Source organism: Homo sapiens, chromosome 10, assembly GCF_000001405.40.
Source record: "Homo sapiens chromosome 10, GRCh38.p14 Primary Assembly".
Lineage (NCBI taxonomy): Eukaryota > Metazoa > Chordata > Mammalia > Primates > Hominidae > Homo > Homo sapiens.
Window position 1 is genome coordinate 42,671,637 of NC_000010.11, and position 21,613 is coordinate 42,693,249.

Consider the following 21,613-nt stretch of genomic DNA (forward strand, 5'->3'; position numbering starts at 1 on the left):
GCAAAGGTTACATGTTTGAGGGGATGGATACCCTACCCTCCAGGATATGAGTGATTATTATGCATTGTATGCCTATATCAAAACATCCCATATACCCCATACATACGTATACCTACAATAATTTTTTAAATACTTATTATTCTTAGGATAACAATACCCTATAAATTGATTTGCAGATTCAATATAATCCCTTCAAATTTCCAAGTGTATTTTTTTAGAAATTAGAAAGTCTCTCACTCCCTTAAATCAATATGTATGTACAGAAAATCAAATTGCACAAAACAATTTTTAAAAAGAAAAACAGAATCAAATGACTTATACTTCCTAATAGCAAGTCTTACTAGAAAGGATAGAGTACAATTCCGCAGTTTCTTCACATTTTCCATCTGTTCTGACCAAGAATACACAGACGCTTGACTTCTCTGTTATTCTGTGGCCCGGATACCTGCATGCTTTCCCCTGCAGACTTGAACCCAAGCCAGGGCTCTGAACATTCGCAGACATAAGTAAAGGTGTTGTGTTTAGGTTGTAATTCAAAACACTAAAAGAAAGTATCCCTGGTCCTGGGAGATTCCTTAAACGCTCCTATAAACTGCATAACCAGACTCCTCACTGCAAAGATACCTAGACAAAGCATCCTTGGTCTCCTTTCCTCCCAATAAGATGAGCTGCAGCCCTCACTGTGTGTACATCCCTTAAGAAATGCTTTGGGCTCATCATACCAGGGTTTAGAGTTTACTTCTTTGGAATCCTAACCCCCTTCATCTCAGGACAGTCTGGGACAGTCCCTTGTGAAAATTCCTCTGTGATCACCTTTGGGGCAACTCCAGCTAAGTGCTGAGCTGGAGGAAGAAGTAGGGAAGTCAGCAGAGTTTTAAGGAATGGGCTGGGGAAAAGAGGATCCCATTCGGAGATCCTGAGATACCTGTAAGGGTCTACGTGGGCTTTGTTGCCTGCCCCTCCCTGATGTCCGCGAGCTGCCCCAGAGATGCTGAGATGCTCCAAAATCTCCAGCAGGATACAGGAGGGTGATGGAGGGTCTGAAATTGCAAAGGATCAGTAAGGAAGTCTGGTGCTTGGATATAGAGGGACAGGACTGGTTGGCATCAGCCATGGGCAGCCTGCATAGAAACAGGCTAAGCTGGAGGCCCAGAGTAAGGTGTGCAAGGCCCTGGGGAAACAATGATGAATGATATCCTCAAGGGACACAGGGTCTAACAGAAGATAGAATTTTACAGAAAGATGATTCTGGCTTCTCTGTTCTATGCTGGAGTAGAATTACATACCAGGGACCAAGGTGGGCAAATATGGAGTGCCTAACTCTGGGTATGGGAGTCTGAGAAAGTTTCCCAAAGGAGAAGGCAGACTCATAGTATCAGTGAAAAATGCTTTATTAAAAGTGGCTGCCAAACGGAGAGAGAGATCTGCCCTCTCAGGGAGTTGGGGTGATGGTGGGAGTGGTGGTGGATTCTGAAAAGCTTCACAGAAAAATTGATACGAAAGGCTTTGCAGGATTATGAGGGGTGTGTAATCTTGAAATGCAGAGGGAACCAGACTGGCAAATGTTTGGTAGCACAGAAGTATACAGCGCCTTTGGTAAATGATGTGTAGTACAGTGGCTAGAATGTAGGTGTAGGATGGAAGTCCAATGTAGTGCCCGAGTGTAGAGGGCTTTGAATTTTATATGAAGGAGTCTGACTATTACAGCAGGTACTTGAATAATGTCATTTCGTTCAGTATCATTTCATTGTAATGTTGATAAGAAAAAACAATCAACTCCCAGCTGGCCACTTCCTGTGTGTCCTTTACACATTCTCCCCAGGTCCACATGGGTTTTCACTGGGTACTCCCAGTTTCCTCCCACATCTCAAAGATGTGCCCATTATGTGAACTATCATTTCTAAATAGTCCCCATTTGAGCTCTGTGTGTGTGTGTGTGTGTGTGTGTGTGTGTGTGTGTATGTACACTCTGCCATATGATGGCACCCTATTCCAGATCCAGGGCTGGTTCTGCCTAGCGCCCTGAGTTGCTAGGAGAGACTCCGGCCACCCATGACCCCTAGCTAGAATAGGTGGGTAAATAATAATCTTACTTGTTTTTATCACTGATAAAGGGAGTTTTTTCCTGCTTTGTATTAGTCGCAAAGCAAGAAAACCCAATCAGAAACAAGGCCAAGTGGGTTTTTTCCCTGCCTGGGATGGAGAAGAAAAGAGTTCTTGCTCTAAAGACACCCTTTCCCTGAAAAATGGAAGGCATGGAGTTTTTAAGAACTAGGTACGGGGAGGGAGAACAACGTTAGCATGAGCAGGGTGGAACTCTAGGTGCACAGGTTCAGTGCATATAAACATACATCTTTATACAACTCATGTCACAAAATGGCAAGATTTTCTTTGGCAGAGGGAATTTTAGTATCATAGTGATATGTTAATGATCTAGGCCAGAAGCGGTGGCTGACGCCTATAATCCCAGCACTTTAGGAGGCTGAGGCATGTGGATCACCTGAGGTGAGGAGCTCAAGACCAGCATGGCCAACATGGTGAAACCCAGTCTGTACTGAAAGAAAAATACACAACAAAATTAGCCAGATAAGTTGGCATACACCTGTTAATTCCAGCTACTCAGAAGGCTGAGGCAGAAGAATCGATTGAACCTGGGAGCCAGATGTTGCAATGAGCCAAGATGGTGCCACTGCACTCCAGCCTGGACGACCGAGTGAGAGTCTGTCAAAAAGAAAAAAAAAAAAAGTTATCTAAAAGCAACTAGGGCTCACCTGTTCGAGTTTGTGCTGGTTGGGGATCTTATCTCCTGGTATGTGGTCAGGGGTGGAGAAGCCCTGGTGCTGGTGGGCCAACTGGTTTCTTTATGCAGCTATGCCTACAAATAAAGAAACTAAAGAAACACAGTAATAAATAGATCTTTCCCAGTTATTTCATCAGGGTGGCCCTGGTAACATTTTTATTAATTTTTCTTTATCTTTTTTGGGGGGGGGGGGCGGTGGGGAGATGGAGTCTTGCTCTGTCACCCAGGCTGGAATGCAGTGGCACGACTTCAGTTCACTGCAACCTCCACCTCCCAGATTCAGGTGATTCTCCCGCCTCAGCCTCCCAAGTAGCTGGGATTACAGGCACGTAGCACCATGCCCGGGTGATTTTTTGCATTTTTAGTAGAGACAAGGTTTCGCCATGTTGGCCAGGCTGGTATCACACTCCTGACCTCAAGTGATCCTCCCACCTTGGCCTCCCAAAGTGCTGGGATTACAGGCGTGAGCCAACACGCCTGGCCTAATGTATGTAGAGCTCACATTTTTCTTAAATGTATGTAGAGCTCACATTTATTTCAGTATTTAATACTGGAAGTGTTTTAGGCCTTTCTAAGTTTGGTGATGTTCTTGTGACCAGAAATATGCCATAGAAACTTAACTATTTCTATCAATTAGACTATGGTAAGGTTGGCTTAATTGTAGGTCACAGTTTTCAAGAATGTATTAAATCCTCACACTAAGTGAGAACTTAACTGTATTCAGCAGGCAATGGAGAGTCAGGAAAGTTTAAGCAAAAATGTGTAATTATTCTACCAGAAAATATTTGATAAGACATAATTTTATGAAACATCAGGTTTATAACAAAGTTATTAAATTATGTACATATTAGGGTTGTGAAGATAAAGGCCACATAGGCCCATTTCAAGTCAACACATAAACATAGAAGGATGATTAACAAAATAAGCGTGTAGCTTATGCTAAATGTTGATTGGAATAGACAATAAATTATGGAGAACTTCACAGGATACTAAGCTTGGATGGGATCTTAGAAGTTTTACAGGTCAATGCCACTCCATCTACTGGCTGATTTGCACTAGTTTAATAAATGAACAACAAAGATAACATGTATCAGTAAAAGTTAAAATCATTTTATTGAATATCTGTCATGTCTGTGCCATTGTAGTGTACTAGGTGCCTTATACCACTTATGAGTCCTCTACTTACAAAACGCTTTTCACAAAATATGAGTCTCCAAAGTCAATGGCATGAATAGTTGTGGTCCAGACATATGATGTTTGTTTTTAAAATCTTTACACAGCCTTGTATCCTTTTTCCTTTTCTTCCTTTTACCCTTTTTAAAATGTGCTGAGTTTTATCTAAGGCTAACCTCTGTAATGTTGCTATATGCCAGTATTCAGTTACTGTGTTTGATGAATCATAAAATGGTGTGAAGCTTTAATTAGTGTTCTTTTTAAATAAAATGCTATTTATGAATGCATCCATCAAAATGCTTTTGATTTGGGTATTCACAAAATATTAGTTTTCTGTGGATCTAACAATAATGCAAAAATCCAAAATGAATATAAAATATTAGCTAATATATATTTCAAAGTATTCTACAAGTATAAAAACTATTGTATGACATTACTTTCATATATGTAAAAAATAATTTTTAGTCAACATAAACATACTCCTTATATCTAAACTTGTATTAATTCATTTAAGAGTTAATATAGTATTGTAAAGTCATCAAATATTTAAAAACAAAATGTATTTTGACTTAGAATATACATAAAATTAACTATTTTCAGCTGAGTCCAGTGGCTCATGCCTGTAATTCCAGCACTTTGGGAGGCCGAGGCAGGTCGACTGCATGAGGTCAGGAGTTTGAGACCAGTCTGGCCAACATGGTGAAACCCCATCTCTACTAAAAATACAAAAGTTAGCCAGGCTTGGTGGAGCGTGCCTGTTATCCCAACTACTCCGGAGGCTAAGGCAGGAGAATCACTTGAACCCCAGAGGCAGAGGTTGCAGTGAGCCGAGATCGTGCCACTGCACTCCAGCGTGGGTGACAGTGAGATTCCATATAAAAGTAGTAATAATAATAATAATAACAATTTTCTGTGAGTCCCAAGATAAAATAGCATTACAGAACACTGAATAATCCTGAGTTTGGTTTTCTTGGTTGCATTCTGCTTTATATTTAGTTTTGTTCACCTTGACCAGTGGGCTTGTGGTTCTTAGGTGCAACAGGGTTTTCATTTTTAGGTTCAAGATTTTAAAGCTTTAATGTGGTAATTTCTCTAATTTTTTTGACAGTTATTTCTCAGGTTACAAGTTAAAATAAAATTTCCATTTCACTGAAGTCTTTGGTTTATTAATGATTTCATGACTTAATATACAATGAGTAATAAGGGGTGCTACAAATTTTCAGAAATCAACACTAAATAACTTACTCATGGAAGCAAACACTACCTGTTTCCCAAACACCTATTAAAATACAAAAATTTATCAATAGTTTTTAAAAATAACTAAAAATGAGAATGAAAAAACATATATCCAGGTTAAAAAAAACTGTATTTCAATTAAATGACAAGTAATTTTTGGGGGGTCTCAGCGCTACTACAAAATTATTTGCTGTTTATTATAACTAATAAGACAGCTACAAAATAATTTTTTAAAATGAAGAAATAGTAAGTACAAAAAAGATATTAACAAATATTGGTATATTGGTGAAGGCTGGACTCAGTGGCTGTTTTCCAAAGTGGTTATACCAGTCGGGTGTGGTGGCACACACCTGTAATCCCAGCACTTCTGGAGGCAGAAGCGGGCAATCACTTGAGCTCAGAAGTTTGACCTAGGCTACATGGCAAAACCCTATCTCTACCAAAAAATGTAAAAATCAGCCACACATGATGACAAGTACCTGTAAGTCCCAGCTACTTGGGAGGCTGAGGTGAGAGGATCACTTGTGCCTGGGAAGTCATGGCTACACTGGCCATGTTCATGCCACTGTACTCCACCCCGGGCAACAGAGCAAGATTTTGTCTCAAAAAAAAAAAAAAAAAAAACAGTTGGTGACAATGTGGAAGAACTGGAACCCACACACATTACTGGTGGGAACATAAAATGGTGTCATCAGTTTGGGTGTTTCTTTTCTGGTCAATTGATTTTTTTAAAAATCAAGATATTGTCTCCCTATGTTGCCCAGGCTGGTCCTGAAGTCCTGGGCTAAAGCAGTCCTCCAAACTCAGCCTCCCAAATAGCTGAGATTAAAGGCATGAGCCACCATGCCTGACTGGTGTAACCACTTTGAAAAACAACGTGGCAGTTTCTCCAAGGCTAAATGTATAGTTATCACATAATGCAACAATTTCATTTCTGGGTGTAAATCCAAGAGAAGCAGAAATATATGTTCACACAAAAACTTGCATGTGAGTGTTCATAGCACCATTACTCATGACGGTTTATATGCAGAAACAGCACAAATGTCCATCAACTGATGAATGGCTAAACATAAACTATTATTCAGCAACAAAAGGTAAGAAATACTGATGCACACTATAACATGAAAGAAATTTGAAAACATTGTGCTAAGAGAAAAAAAAGCAAACTACAAAAGATCACATACTGTACAATTCTATTTCTATTAAAGGTCCAGATTAGGCAAAACTACAATAAAAGAAAATAAATCAGTGGTTGCCTATGAAGACACAGGAACGTGGGGGAAGTAGGAGGTAGCAGCTAAGAGGTGAGGGTTTCTCACTCTTAAGTGGGTAACTCATAAATGGGTAATCGCTTCTAAAAGTGACTGTGGTGATGGATGCACAGCTTCATGAATATTCTAAAAACTACTGAATTTCTCTCTTTCTTTCCTTTCTCTCTCTCTCCGTCTCTCTTTACTTCTTTCCTCTCTCACTCTCTCTCTTTCTCGACATGGTCTCCTTCTGTCACCCACACTAGTGCAGTACCGCCATCTGGTCTCACTGCAACCTATATGCCTTCTGGGCTTAAGTGATCTTCCAGCATCATGTCCTCAAGTAGCTAAGACTACAGGCATGAGCCACCATATCCAGCTAATTTTTGTATTTTTTCTAGAGATGCTGTTTTGCCATGTTGCCCAGGCTAGTCTCGAACTCCTGAACTCAAGCAATCCACCTACCTCAGCCTCCCAAAGTCTTAGCGTTATAGGAATTAGCCAATACACCCAGCCTGAATTGCACACTTTGATAAATGAATTGTGTGAGATGTTAATCATATTTCAATTAAATTATTATTATAAAAAGGGCCAGATGCAGTGGCTCACACCTGTAATCCCGGCACTTTGGGCGGCCAAGGTGGGCCAACTGCCTGAGGTCAGGAGTTCAAGACCAGTCTGGCCAACATGGTGAAACCACATCTCTACTAAAAATAGAGCAAAAATTAGCCAGGTATGGTGGCATGCGCCTGTAATCCCAGCTACTCGGGAGGCTGAGGCAGGGGAATTGCTTGAAACAGGGAGGTGGAGGTTGCAGTGAGCCGAGATGGCACCACTGTACTCCAGCCTGGACAACTGAGCTAGACTCCATCTCAAAAAAAAAAAAAAAAGAAAATGGGGGTTGAGCACAGGTGGCTCAGGCCTGTGCATAATTCCAGCACTTTGGGAAGCTGAGACAGAGAGATCACTTGAGGCCAGGAGTTTGACACCATCCTGGGCAACATAGCAAGATCCCATCTCAACAATAAAAAATAAAGAAGTTAGCTAGGCACGGGGGCAAACGTCTGTAGTCCCAGCTACTTGGGAGGCTGAGGTTGGAGGATTGTTTCAGCCCAGGGGTTTCAGGCTGCATTGAGACATAATCAAGCCACTGCACTGCAGCCTGGTGACAGAGCAAGAGCTTGTCTCTAGGAAGAAAAACAAAAGTAATGCAAGTTTTCGTCACCTTCTGAGAGTAATCGACTTTCAGGAGGACTAGAAAAACAAAAAAAAGGACCACTGAATGGTTGAGGGTGTGTTCCTGGTTAGGCTCAGTTGCTGGCTGAGTAGTATCTGAAAAATTAATTAGTAAAATTACAGCTCTAGGGATCAGTCATGCAGTCACCATAGCCAGGACTACAAGTGAGCATCACAACTCCCAGCTACTTTTTTTTTTTTTTTTTTTTTTGTGGAGACAGAAGCCTTGCTATGTGCCCAAGCTGGCCTCAAAACTCCCACCCTCAAGAGATCTTCCCACCTCGACAACCAGAGTAACTGATTCTACAGACACATGCCACCGTGTCTGGATAATTATATTTTATTATTATTTATTTGTGTAGAGAGGAGATCTTGCTATGTTGCCAAGGGTGGTCTCAAACTCCTGGACTTAAAACAATCCCCCCATCTCTGCCTCCCAAAGTGCTGGCACTACAGGCATAAGCCACTGCACCAGCCTGACTTAAGGTTTCCTTAATCTAGCAACCCATACTTCATATAATTGGGAAAGGCAGTACTGTTTTTTTTTTTTTAATTACTTAGTATTTCAACAAGAATCAACCATCTCTCAGGGCCAGGCACGGTGGCTCACGCCTGTAATCCCAGCACTTTGGGAGGCCAAGGTGGGTGGATCAAAAGGTCAGGAGTTCGAGAACAGCCTGGTCAATATGGTGAAACCCCGTCTCTACAAAAAAATGCAAAAATTAGCCAGGCGTGGTAGCAGGTGCCTGTAGTCCCAGCTACTCAGGAGGCCGAGGCGGAAGACTCTCTTGAACCTGGGAGGTGTAGGTTGCAGTGAGCTGAGATCTCCCCACTGCACTCCAGCCTGGGCAACAGAGCGAGACTCCGTCTCAAAAAAGAAAAGAAAAAAGAAAAAAAAAGAATCAGCCATCTCTCACCATTGCCATGACCCTGGTCAAAAACACTTATCTCCCATCTGGATGTTGCCACAGCTTGGCCTCCCTGCTTCTACCCAAATCTTCCCACAATCTTTCTCAACTCAGCAGCCAAGGGATGCTTTTAAATCAGGAGACAGATCATGTTGCCTCTCTGCTCAGAACCCTCCCACAGTTCCGATCTCAGTCAGAGTAAAAGCCAAAGCCCCAGCAAGAGCCTCCCAGAGATTACACAATCTTTACTGATCAGACACACCATGGAGTTCCCTCCTAGCATCTTTATCCTGTTGTTTCTGCCTACAATGCTCTCACCTCAGCACCTTGGCCAGTTGCTTCCCCCACTTCAAGTCTTTGATAAATTTTCACTTAGGGCAACCCTGGCCACTCTATTTAATATTGCCATCTGTCCCCATTCCTGCCATGCTCTTTTTTTTCCACAAAATCTCGCTGTGCCACTCAGGCTGGGGTGCCATGGCACAATCACGACTGAGACCTCGAACTCACTGGTGAAGCAATCGTCCTGCCTCAGCCTCTCTAGTAGCTAAAGACTACAGGTGCATGCCACCACACCTGCTAATTTTTTAAAAAATATATGGAGCATCACTATGCTCCCCAGGCTTGTCTTGAACTCCTGGGCCAAAGCGATCCTCCTGCCTCGGCCTCCTAAATACCTGGAATTATAGGTGTGGGCCACCAGCCCTGGGTTCATGTTCATTTCTTCTTGCTGCTGTTACAAACTGCCCTACATTGAGTGCCTTAATACACGACAAATCTACTACCTAACAGTTCTGGGAGCCAGAGTCCAAAATAGGTCAATTAAGGCTAAAGTCAACGTGTCAGCAGGACTGCATTCCTTCTGGAGGCTCCAGAGAGGATGGGTTCCCTTGCCTTTCTCAGCTTCTAAAAGCCACCCCCATTTCTTGGCTCATGGCCCCTAACTGCATCTTCAAAGCCAGAAGCGAAGCATATTCAAATCTCCCTCTCTGACCTCTGCTTCCATCATCACATCTCCTCCAATTCTGAGTCTCTTGCCTCCCTCTTTCTCTTATAAAAACCCTTGTGACTGCTGGACACAGTGGTCGTGGCTCACACCTGTAATCCCAACAGTTTAGGAGGTCAAAGCGGGGAAACACCTGAGGCCAGGAGCTCGACACCAACCTGGAAAACATAGTGAGATCCCCAACTAAACAACAAAAACCAAAAGAAATAAGAAAAGAAAAAATTGGCTGGGCATGGTGGTATGCATCTGTAGTTTCAGCTACTTGAGAGGCTGAGGTGAAAGGGTTGCTTTAGCCCAGGAGTTCAAGACCAGCCTCGGCAACGTAACAAGATCCCATCTCTAAAAAAAAATACAAAAATTAGCTGAGCATGGATGGTGTGCACCTGTAGTCCCACATACTTAGAAGGCTGACGCAGGAGAATTGTTTGAGCCCAGGTGGTTGAGGCTGCATCACTGCACTCCAGTATGGGTGAAAGAAAGAGACTCTGTGTCCAAAAGAAAAAGAAAAGAAATACACATCTGGTTTCTGCCCCTGGTCCTGGCACAAAGCTTCTAAAGTTCTCATAAAGTTCTCAGTGATAAAGTTGATAGGAGCATCTTTTGTTTCAATATTTGGTCTTAGTCCCAGGTTTCTAACACAAGACCCTCTAAGACCTTTGGGATCTCCACCATAGTAAGAATGCATTTGATGATGCTACTGAGATGACTGGGTGACTGAAAGCTCCCAGACAGCTTCAGGAGGAGGGCTGGTTGCCAGAACAAACCATGTGATTAGAGGCTTGAAACTTGCAGCCTCACCCACTGAGCTCCAGGAAGAAATAGTGGCTGAAGATTGACTTAATCACCAATGGTCAATGATTTTATCAATCATGCCTGTGTAATGAAGCCTTCAGAAACACCCTAAACAACAGGGTTTGGAGAGTGTCTGGGTTCCTGAACACAAGGGGGATACTGGGAGGGTAACATGCCCAATAGACGGCATGGAAGCTCTGTGCCCCTCTCCACATACCTTGCCCTGTGCATCTTTTTTCTTTCTTTTTTTTTTTTTTTTGAGACAGGGTCTGGCTCTGTCTCCCAGGCTACAGTGGCACAATCGTGGATCACTGCAACCTATGCCTCCCTAGCTCAAGCCATCCTTTCACCTCAACCTCCTGAGTAACTAGAATTGTAGGCACATGTCACTGCACCAGGCTAATTTTTATAAAATTTTTTTTGTAAAGATGAGGTTTCACCATGTTGCCCAGCCTGGTCTTAAACTCTTGAGCTTAAGCGATGCTCCCGCCACAGTCTCCCAAAGTGCTGAGATTACAGGCATGAGCCCAGCATGTACACCTCTTTCACTGGCTGTTTCTGAGATATATCCTTTACAATGAACCAGTAATAGAAAGTAAATTGGTGAGACCCAGTGGCTCACGCCCATAATCCCAGCACTTTGGAGGTTGAGATGGGAGGATAATGTGAGCCCAGAAATTTGAGACCAGCCTGGGCAACATAACAAGACCCCATCTCTACAAAAAATAAAAGAATATAGCCAGATATGGTGGTGTAGGCCTGTAGTCTCATTGGGAGGCTGAGGCAGGAGGATCACTTGAGCCCAGGAGTTCGAGGCTACAGTAGCTTTGATCACATTGCTGAATTCCAGCCTGGCAACAGAGTGAGACTATGTATCTCAGAAAAAAAAAAAAGAAAATAACCTGTTTTTCTGAGTTCTGCAAACTGTTTTAGCAAATGATTCAACCAAAGAAGGAGGTCATGAGACCCCAGTTTCTAACTGGTTGGTCAAAAGTACATGTAACAACCTAGGGTTTGCAACTGGCATGTGAAGTGAGGATAGTCTTGTGGGACTGAGCCCCTATCCTGAGGGGTCTGCACTAACTCCAGTTAGTGTGAGAATGGAACTGTGAGATACCCAGTTGGTATCCAGATTGTCCGAAAACTGGTGTAGAATCTCTGCATTTGGTTGGATGTATTTGACCACAGCTACTATTCAGGAAAAAGAACTACTCATTATAAAGAAAAAACCATAAAATTATATGTTCTACAAAAAACAAATCAACCTTAACTACAGCCCAGTCCTACTCAAATATAGACTGTTAGAACAAAAGGTCTCACCATGGACTCGAGAGCTGACATGAGGAATGTCACAAACATCCCGCTCTCTGAGAACTCCTCATCTTCAACGAGCGGGGGGACACTGCAACTTTGGCCATGATCCCTGCGCAAGAAAAGTAGTAAGAAAGTGAGTGGTAGAAATCCAGTGTCTTAAACCCATATCCAGAGCTGTGAGAGTTTTTTTTACCAGCTGGCTAATTTACACTTGTCTTGCATCAGAGGAAAATTAAGGCTCAGAAACTAGATATTCGATTTGTCCAAAACTCTCATCAGATACAGAATCCATCCGCTAACTTTCTATCTGGCATTATTTCCATAAAATTAGAACAGTATCACTCCCAAAATAAATCCATATGGCACCCAGCATCAATGCATTTCTCCCAAGTAAAATAGGAGGCAAGGCGCTTTACAACCCAGCGACGGGCTACCACAACACAGGAAAGAGGTGCCAACCTCCCTTTCTCCCCTGCACAACCCAACACAAAAAAGAGTGGGTGCAGTGGAATGAGGCTGGGTGAAGAGAAGTTCCTCTTCTTAGTGAGAAAATAGATCACAGGGCATCAAGTAACATGTAAAAGTCTCTATAATAAGGCATTTTTTTGAAAACGTTTTCTAATATTTTGGTATCAAGAAAACCCTCAGATGAATTTCAAACACCATAAAAATACAATACATAAACAGAAAATATTAACTGTCAACAATGATATCGATAAATTGTAACCTTTATGGATGGCTTTTTGGAATGTAAAATGGTACAGCCCACTGTGGAAAATGGTTTGGCAGTTCCTTAAAATATTAAGCACAGAATTATATGATCCAACAACACCCTTTAAGCGCTATATCCAAAAGAACTAAGATCAGGGACTCAAACAGGTATTTGTACACCCGTTTAACAGTAGCATTATTCACAGTGGCCAAAAGGTAGAACCAGCCCTATGCCCATCGGTAGGTGAATGGGTAAAGAAAATGTAATACACACATACACAGAATACTATACAGCGATAAAAAAAAATCTCGCCAGGTTCAGCAGCTTACACCTGTAATTCCAGCACTTTGGGAGGTCAAGGCGGGCAGGTCGCTTAAGCACAGAATTTTGAGACCAGGCTGGGCAACATGGCAAGACCTCGCTTCTACAAATAAAAATTTTTTAAAAAAAGGAAATTCTGACAGTGTTATCAATGAGCCTTGATAGCATTATGCTAAGTGAAATAAACCAGACAGAAAAGGACAAATATTGTACAAGTCCACTTATATAAGGTATCTAGAATAAACAAATTCATAGAAAATAGAATAGTAATTGCCAGGGGCCAGGAGGACGGTTCAATGGGGAGCTATTGTTTATGGAGTACAGAGCTGCAGTTTACAATGATGACAAAGCTCTGGAGATGGAGAGTGGTGATAGCTAACAATGCGGATGTGCTTAACACCAGGGACCTCTGTGCACTTAAAAATGGTTAAAAGTGTTATTTTATATTATGTATATTTTTACCAAAATAAAAAAATAAAAAATAAAACAAGACACCACATAAGGACATACTAAGATGGCAAAATCTAAAGCAACTTTTTAAAACCCAGAGAGTTTTTCTGTAAATAGCATATGAATTAAATGCCTATTAAAAATTAGCCCCTTTAATTTAGTTGAATTAATTCTACTTTTAGAGAGAGCTTAAATAATTAAATAAACTTAATTGGAAGCATAACTGAAAAATTAAACACTAGATGCAGGAAGAGGAACTGTAAAAACATATCTATGTACATAAACCAATTTACTGACAACACTCGAGTATCCCTTAACTAAAGCCCCAGTATTCCAGAGAAGATGGACAAGCACTTGAAGAGCTGTCAGCAGGAAACTGTTGTACCTAAAAATGTCAGTAAATCTTCATTAAAGAGAATGTTCTATTTTCCTATTATTAAAGGTTGTCACCTAGCTTTACCATCTGTTACCATGTGCATTGACTACTAGGCCAGATTTAGACATCAAGTAATGAAGCATACATACTTAGGAAGTTACAACTTATAATAACAACCACGATCAGAAAAACAGTACTTTGCATCATGAAGACCTTCAGTTACCACTTAGTCTTCATCCTCATGGGCTTTATTGATCAATATTGTAAAGAGGTATATTACCTCTTATAACTTAAAACAACTTGTCGCCTAGGAAAGCATACCAAAAGAATCATCTTTTATTTCCAAGTGAGGTGTTTTAAGAATAATATAATCTATAAAATAGAATAAACATACAACAGACCAGGCATGGTGGCTCACCCCTGTAATCCCAGCACTTTCGGAGGCCAAGGTGAGTGAAATCACAAGGTCAGGAGATCAAGACCATCCTGACCAACATGGCAAAACCCTGTCTCTACTAAAAATACAAAAATTAGCTAGGTGTGGTGGCTCTTGCCTGTAATCCCAGCTACTCGGGAGGCTGAGGCAGAAGAATTGCTTGAACCAGGGAGTCAGAGGTTGCAGTGAGCTGAAATCACACCACTGCACTACAGCCTGGCGACAGAGCAAGACTCCATCTCAAGGAAAAGAAAATATATATACAACAAATACAGTAACACACAAAATCTCTTTTTCTCCTAACCTTCTGCTGGTCCTTCAATTTCTGCTGGTACTGTTCCGTCACTGCCTTCTACAGAATGATGGCTTCCTAAAAAGAAAATAAACATGTAATAAACCAATAAAAACTCACACTGAAAAAAGAGAATCTAGATAACAATGCAATCACTTTTAAGATATAATAAACATAAAAAAAGATTCTTTTAACTCAATGGAAACAATACTTTCTAATTCAGAAAAAAAATAACACTTCTATTAGGCAGCTAAAAATTATTATTTTAAAATACAAATACAGAGTAGACCAAAGTAGGTTTGTGGATTTAATATTAGTTACTGTAACTGTATGGCAAAATTACTGGATATTGGAACCTGAAGAAGCACAATTATGTTTCAAGTACCATGTTCATCTGTCACTGACACACACACAGACACACCATTGTGAATGCTTGCTTTGCTCAGACACTTAATTAACTCTCTATAAATAAGTTTAGGGTTTGCTGTGGAATGCTCCCTGCTTTCCATTTTCACTATGGTAAAAGCTACAGAAACTCGATTCCCATAATTTAATCAAAGTTGTACTTAAAGTAACTCGTAAGTAAAAATTAAAGATACTACCTTTAGTATCAAAAAACATTTTAATCCAGGTAATATAATCTGCTTGCTTCTAAAAACTGGGACATAAAGCAACAGATCTGTTAGGCAGTCACATGGTAAACAGGCTTATCCTACTGGAGCAGAAGTTTATTCACAAATAGGAAAGAAAGAATCTAAGATATCGGAGCTCCAGTAAGGATTAAGACCACAAGCTGCCCCCAATATACATCTTCTGTCCTTGAAGATCTGAGCTACTAACATGGAAAAGACTGAAAAACACTGCCTTCAAGTATAAATAAAAAAGTATTGCATTTTGGTAAGAATACATCGCTTAGGGGGAAGGGAAGCAGATGCTCATCTATTTTGTCCTGTCTATTGATAAATTCAGAAGCTGTACTAAAAGTTAAATAAAAGTTATAAATAAACTTTCTCTTAATTTTTAAAGAGTAATGATTACCGTCTGAAAAATTCATTTGTTGGCTACTATTCTTGAATTAAAAGTGCCATACTGAGGTGAAATCTTTTTGGTTTCCAGTATCTAGCTTTATTATGTAATAATTATCTTGGGATTCTTTTCAACTTACTGCATATTGTGAAAACTCACCTGAACTCAAAACTCTAGGTAAATCTATAAACCTCTATGAATCCATCTTTAATTCACTTGTAAAACATACTTTCTCTGCAAACATTTCCTTTCTTTTCTTAACCTTAATATTTGGATTCAGGGAGCATTAAGTTCTTTGACTGCAAAGTCAAAGAAAAAAGAGATGTGAGGTCAAAGGAATGATAGATAATAAAGAAGAGGCCAGTAATTAAAACGTAAAATTTCAGTAAAGAGTAACAGTTAAGATGGTTGTTCATGTTATTACCCAAACACCAAGGGTTTGGTCCAGGTCCTGCTGCTCACCAGACAGAAACTAGTCACTGAGGCGACAAGTATTACCAAGGAAGAAAGCTTTAACCTGGTGCTGCAGCCCAGGAGATGGGGTCTCAGTCTCAAATTTATCTCCTTGACTCACTTAAACTAGGGTCAGGAAAGAAATACAATAATGTATAAGAGAACAGAAATTAGGGGCTGGCAGGAGGCATCTAGTGCGGTGATCTGGTATGTTTCAGTTATTTGATACTTCCTGAAGGTCTTTTTTTGAGGAGACAACTCAGATAAAACAGATACAAGTTTCAAGGTTTAACAGCAGGGTCAACTCTTATGTTGATCCAAACAAAACCCCATCCATGGGACAATTGGGCTGGTGTCAATGTAAGCAATAATTCTATAGGTCCTTTTTGTTCAAAATCTGAACAATTAAATTTATATTATATGCTAAACCAAAGGAAAATACATCTTATGTACTCGAGGCCAGAAGAGATAGGAGTAAAACCTACTACTAAATAGCCTATGAGTGTCAAGTTTGGGAACACTACAAAAAATTACAAAAAAGTAATAAATGCATAAAAGTTACAGATTAACAAGTGCTATTTCAGAATTCTTCTAAATACTAAGTACATGACCTTATTAATATTTGCATTACTAACCACACAATAAGAACCTGACTTATGACTATTCTGAGATAAGGTATAAATGTGTACCTTTACCTTAAATGGGAAAGTGTGTCATATACCCACATCGAGATTCACAAAAGGGAAAACTGATTTGAAAAATTGTTGCTTGTGAAGTTCATTTATACGTTAAGAAAAGGCCAATACAATTTTTCCTTTTCAATATAGAAAAGTAATTCTTAATACTATAGTTATAAATACTAAAACACAGTCTGTGGAATACAAGAAACCATTAAATACAAACAGTATGTAGGAAAGTGGAGGTAAAAAGATTACACCTTGCAAAGACTTCAGGACAAGTTTTGCATGTCATCAGTTTCAGAAGGGCCTGCTTTGAGATACAAAGATAATACTTCAACAGTAACCCCCCAGGCCAGAGGCAGTGACTTATGCCTCAGCACTTTGGGAGGCCAAGACAGGCAGATCAGTTGAGGTCTGGAGTTCGAGACAGACCTGGCCAACGGGGTGATACCCCATCTCTACCAAAAAATACAAAAATTAGCTAAATGTAGCGACATGCACCTATCTAGTCTCAGCTACTCGGGAGGCTGAAGCAAAAGAATCCCTTGAACCTGAAAGGCAGAGGTTGCAGTAACCCAAGATTGCACCACTGCACCCCAGCCTGGGAGACAGAGAGAGAATCTGTTAAAAAAAAAAAAAAAGTCATGTTCACGTAGAGTTAGGCTCCACAGTTCACTCTCTTAACCATCCTGTATTCTACCCACTCTATGCTATGCCCGGTCACTGATGCACCTGTATGGTAGCTCATGGCCCCCTTAGAGCTTAGAACCTAGGTTTCATTTCCTGCTCTACAGCTATATAATTTAACAATTTTCCTCTCGAGTTTGTTGGATTCTAACCCTATACATAACAAATCTTATTAATATTACTGCATCTTAAAGGGGGCTGTGATGTCTTCAGTCCCTAGAAACATTAAACAACCTATAAACAAAGGACCATATGAGGGTAAACAGAATCCAAATTTCTATACGCTTTAAAACGCTGAGGCAATGTACTGAGAAACACACCTAAGAAACTGCAACCAATCTACTGTCGACAAAAATTTAGACGCTGTCGACAAAAATTTAGACACTGTCTCTTCAAAATAAGCTATCTGGTGGTACTTATCCATATTCCCACATGTATCAACAGTATTTTACATGTCATAAACTTAAAAATAATTTTAAAAGTGTCAAAATTATAGGCCTTAATCCATTTCTGTGGGCTTGAAAAATGATAAAATATACATTTGTTTCTTTATTCAATAAAATGCATAAACTTCTAGTGCAATCACTAAAAAAAGAGTTCATACCAAAGGTTGTAATACTAGGAAAGAGGGCTCAATACTGCAGGTTCTTAAAGACAAAAGTTAATAAAGCCTTGTTTTTGGTTGTGAATCTTGGCCTTAAAACATTATTTGCATGATCCCCGCTTCCTTTTCCTGTTGTAAAGATGTGGTGACAAACCAGGTTTGGTCACGCAGATAATAATCTTGAAAATAGTGGGAGGGAAATAACATGAAGGGAATATAGTTTACCTAATGACCTCCTAAATTGGAACTTATTACCCCCATGCCTCTTGCATATCTCCAGACTAATATGTAAGACAGATGAAACAGCTGTTTGCTACCAATATTTTATTTGATGCTTCTTTTTTTTATTCCTTGAATAACTGCTTACAATGCGTTAACAGGAACAGGAAAGCATATCTATTCAAGTACTAAATAATTATGCAAATCTCTAAGACATAGTAATGGACCAATTATTTTTAAAGTACAACACACTGACAAGTACTTTATTTTTAACTCAGTCTTGGTTTGTTGTTAATGCCATTGCTTGGGAAAAAGCAAACAAAAGCAGGAGGTGGTGAAGGAGAAACAAGAAATAGAGGCAGCAGCATAAGCAAATAAAGAAGAACAAGAAGATGATGATGAGAATAAAAGACTGGAAGAAAGGAAAAACAACACGTGAGGGAATCGGAAGGCCTATTATGATACCTTTTTTCCCCTCCTTGATTCATGAAATTTGAAAAAGTTCAAGACTTTTTCACAACAACAACAACAACAACAACAATAAAGAGCAAAAAGATACACAGTCACCCCTAAATTTTGTTAAGATTGCGATAATGCTCCACTCACACCTGGCTCAGGTGCCAGCAGAAGGATGGGACCCTCCAGATTCTGCAGGAGAAGGGGGAGGACTCCTCCTTGCCCTGGCGGCACCTCCACTGCTGCCACCGAGGCCGACGGTACAGCACCCACAGCTTCCTACCCACGCCAGGCCAGGTGGCTCCGCAGTGCTCCTACTCCCACTTCCCAGGACCCCCAGACTTGCTGCTGCTGCCACCACTAAGGCCAATGCCAATACAACCACTGCTGCTGTCACCCTCGATGCACCGGCACTCCCTACAAGGCCCCTACTAGCTGGCCACAGCCACAGCCCTGCCACAGGTGGCCACAGCTGGCTGCCCTCCTACCTACTGCTCCAAAGTGCCACCCACCGCAGTGACGCCAGCCGCCACGTCCCAGGCTCCAGGCTCCAGCCTCCACCCTCCAGCGTGTGGCAGGTTGCTCCTCCTTCTGGCACAGAGCAGCTGGGCCAGTAAAGTCAGAAAAGCCTAGAACATGATGCAGGGAGTGGTAACGTTAGAGCCTCACCTTGTCATGGTGGCCACTGGGTGGCAGTGACAGGTTTCAGTGAACTGGAGACTCCAAGGTGGCTGGCTCCCCACCCACAGGAACCGTTGGGCCCACTGGGGCTGCGGCTCCTTGGAGAGCAGGAACAGCAGAACTCAGACCCAGCCACTACTACCCCGCCCAACCCCCGGCCCCTCCTGCGCCCCCACCCCGAGTGCCGGTTTCCATTCCTAACGTCTCCACCCACAGGGCCCTGTCCCCCCATGACGCCTGTGCCCCATGTCTACCCCATGACTGTGCTCAGGAATCCCAGGTTGTCTCAACACAGAGTAAGAGGACGCAGACCCAGGAACCATGACAGGCCCTGCCATGCCCATGATTCCCATGGAAACACTGTGTGCCCGCTGAGCAGTAGGAGGTCTCCTTCTAGAGTCTGGAGCCTGGCTCCTTCCTTGGAGGCCACCGCTGTGGCGGCCACCTCTGCCACTACCAGCAGTGCAGCCCCGATTGCGCCCCTAACCCGCCGCTGACAGTGTAGCCCCCGATAGTGTCCCAAACACCACCCCCCACTCCCAGGGAGTGTAACCCCTGATAGCGCCCCCAACCCGTCCCCACCTCGAACACTGCAGCACCCAATAGAGACCCCAACCCGCCCCCACACTGGGAGAAATAACGCCCGTAACAGTGCCCCAAGCCCCACTCCATCCCCGGGCAGTGCAGCCCTGGATAGCACCCCAACCCGCTCCTGGCTGCAGGCAGTGATGCCCGGAATAGCGCCCCCAAGCCGCTCCCCACCGTGGGCAGTGCAGTTGAGAATACTCACCTACCTGGGCTGCCTTTCTACCACTCCAGCAGCCGTGCAGTCCCTGTCACAGCCACCAGCTTCAGTGAGGCAAGCCAGGGTGCCACAGGCTCCGGCCTCCAGCTTGTGTCAGGAGAAACCACCTTCCCCTCCCCCTGTAGCACCGCACGGAGCTGCTGCAGCTGCTCGTCCGCCATCTTACCACTCCAGCTGCGCTTCAGTCGCTGTCGTCGCAGCCAATGTTCTAATTGGATGAGAGAAAACCTCTAGGCTTATTCTGATTGGACTTTATTATCATGTTCTGATTGGTTAGCCTAAGGCTTACTCTCATCCAATCAGAACATGTAACCCAGGAACCTCGGTATATAAAGCATGCTAAGGGGGAGTCAGGCCATTCCAGACTCTTCTGCTTCTGTCTGCTAAGCTGGTGTGTGCCAGGCTTAGAAGGGGGGAAGGGGCTGGGCATGGTGACTCACCTGTAATTCTGAGGCGGGTGGATCACGAGGTCGAGTTTGAGACTAGCCTGGGCAAGATGGTGAAACCCCCGTCTCTGCTAAACATGCAAAAATTAGCCAGGCGTGGTGCTCCTGTAGTTCCAGCTACTTGAGAGGCTGAGGCAGGACAATCGCTTAAACCCAGGAGGCAGAGGTTGCAGTAAGCCAAGATCGTGCCACTGCACTCTAGCCTAGGTGACAAAGCAAGAATCCATCTAAAAAAAAAAAAAAAAAAAAAAGGAAGGGGGAAAGGAAGAGCCACCTGCTGCATGCTGGAGGCTGTAGCCTGCAGCTCCACAGCTGGGCTTGCTGCAGTGAGTGGCAGTGATGCAGCATGGCAGGAGCGGTAGGATCTGGATGATTTCCAGCTTCATCCATGTCCCTGCAAAGGACATGAACTCATTCTTTATTATGGCTGAATAGTAGTCCATGGTGCATATGTGCTACATTTTCTTTATCCACCAAGCAATAAGATTTATCATCTAGGGGGCCAGTTGCAGTGGCTCAGGCCTGTTAATCCCAGCACTTTGGGAAGCCAAGGCGGGCAGATCACGAGGTCAGGAGTTTGAGACCAGCCTGACCAACGTGCTGAAACCCCGTCTCTACTAAAAATACAAAAAAAAATTAGCCAGGAGTGCTGGCGCACGCCTGTAATCCCAGCTACTCAGGAGGCTGAGGCAGGAGAATCACTTGAACCCAGTAGGTGGAGGTTGCAGTGAGCAGAGATCGAGCCACTGCACTCCAGCCCGGGCAACAGAGGGAGACTCCGTCTCAAAAAAAAAAAAAAAGATTTATCATCTGGGGTATCAGGTGAGAGGACTAGCTAGGTTGGGTATATGGAATTAGAACTCATGAGTGAAGAAATTCAAAATTAAAGTTAAGAATATTACTGGTCTATATAGCATTTACAGAAGAGCCAAATAGACAATATTCCAGACTATAGAGGTTAGAGAAAATCAAGTTATCTATCTTAAGAGCACACTTTTTTTTTTTTTTTTTTGAGACAGAGTCTCGCTCTGTCATCAAGGCTGGAGTGCAGTGGCATGATCTAGGCTCACTGCAAGCTCTGCCTCCCAGGTTCATGCCATTCTCCTGCCTCAGCCTCCCTAGTAGCTGGGACTACAGGCGCCCATCACCTCGCTCAGCTAATGTTTTGTATTTTTAGTAGAGATGGGGTTTCACCGTGTTAGCCAGGATGGTCTCGATCTCCTGACCTCATGATCCACCCGTCTTGGCCTTCCA

The 21,613-nt window shown here is 42.4% G+C and overlaps 1 long non-coding RNA gene across 4 annotated transcripts; it reads right to left on the bottom strand.

The window, feature by feature from the left end:
• Positions 1-1,376: 1,376 nt before the first annotated feature.
• On the bottom strand, positions 1,377-20,123 carry LINC01518 (long intergenic non-protein coding RNA 1518). Of its 4 annotated transcripts, none has more exons than NR_120656.1 (5): positions 19,903-20,123; positions 19,097-19,206; positions 14,315-14,380; positions 11,722-11,824; positions 1,377-2,721 (listed from the first exon to the last, which is right to left on the bottom strand). It is a non-coding gene; the product is annotated as a long intergenic non-protein coding RNA 1518 (long non-coding RNA). The 4 variants fall into 4 exon arrangements; NR_120659.1 differs by lacking the exon at positions 19,097-19,206 and adding an exon at positions 18,940-19,056 and having other exon boundaries at positions 19,899-20,123; NR_120658.1 differs by lacking the exon at positions 19,097-19,206.
• Between the last annotated feature and the right edge of the window lie 1,490 nt (positions 20,124-21,613).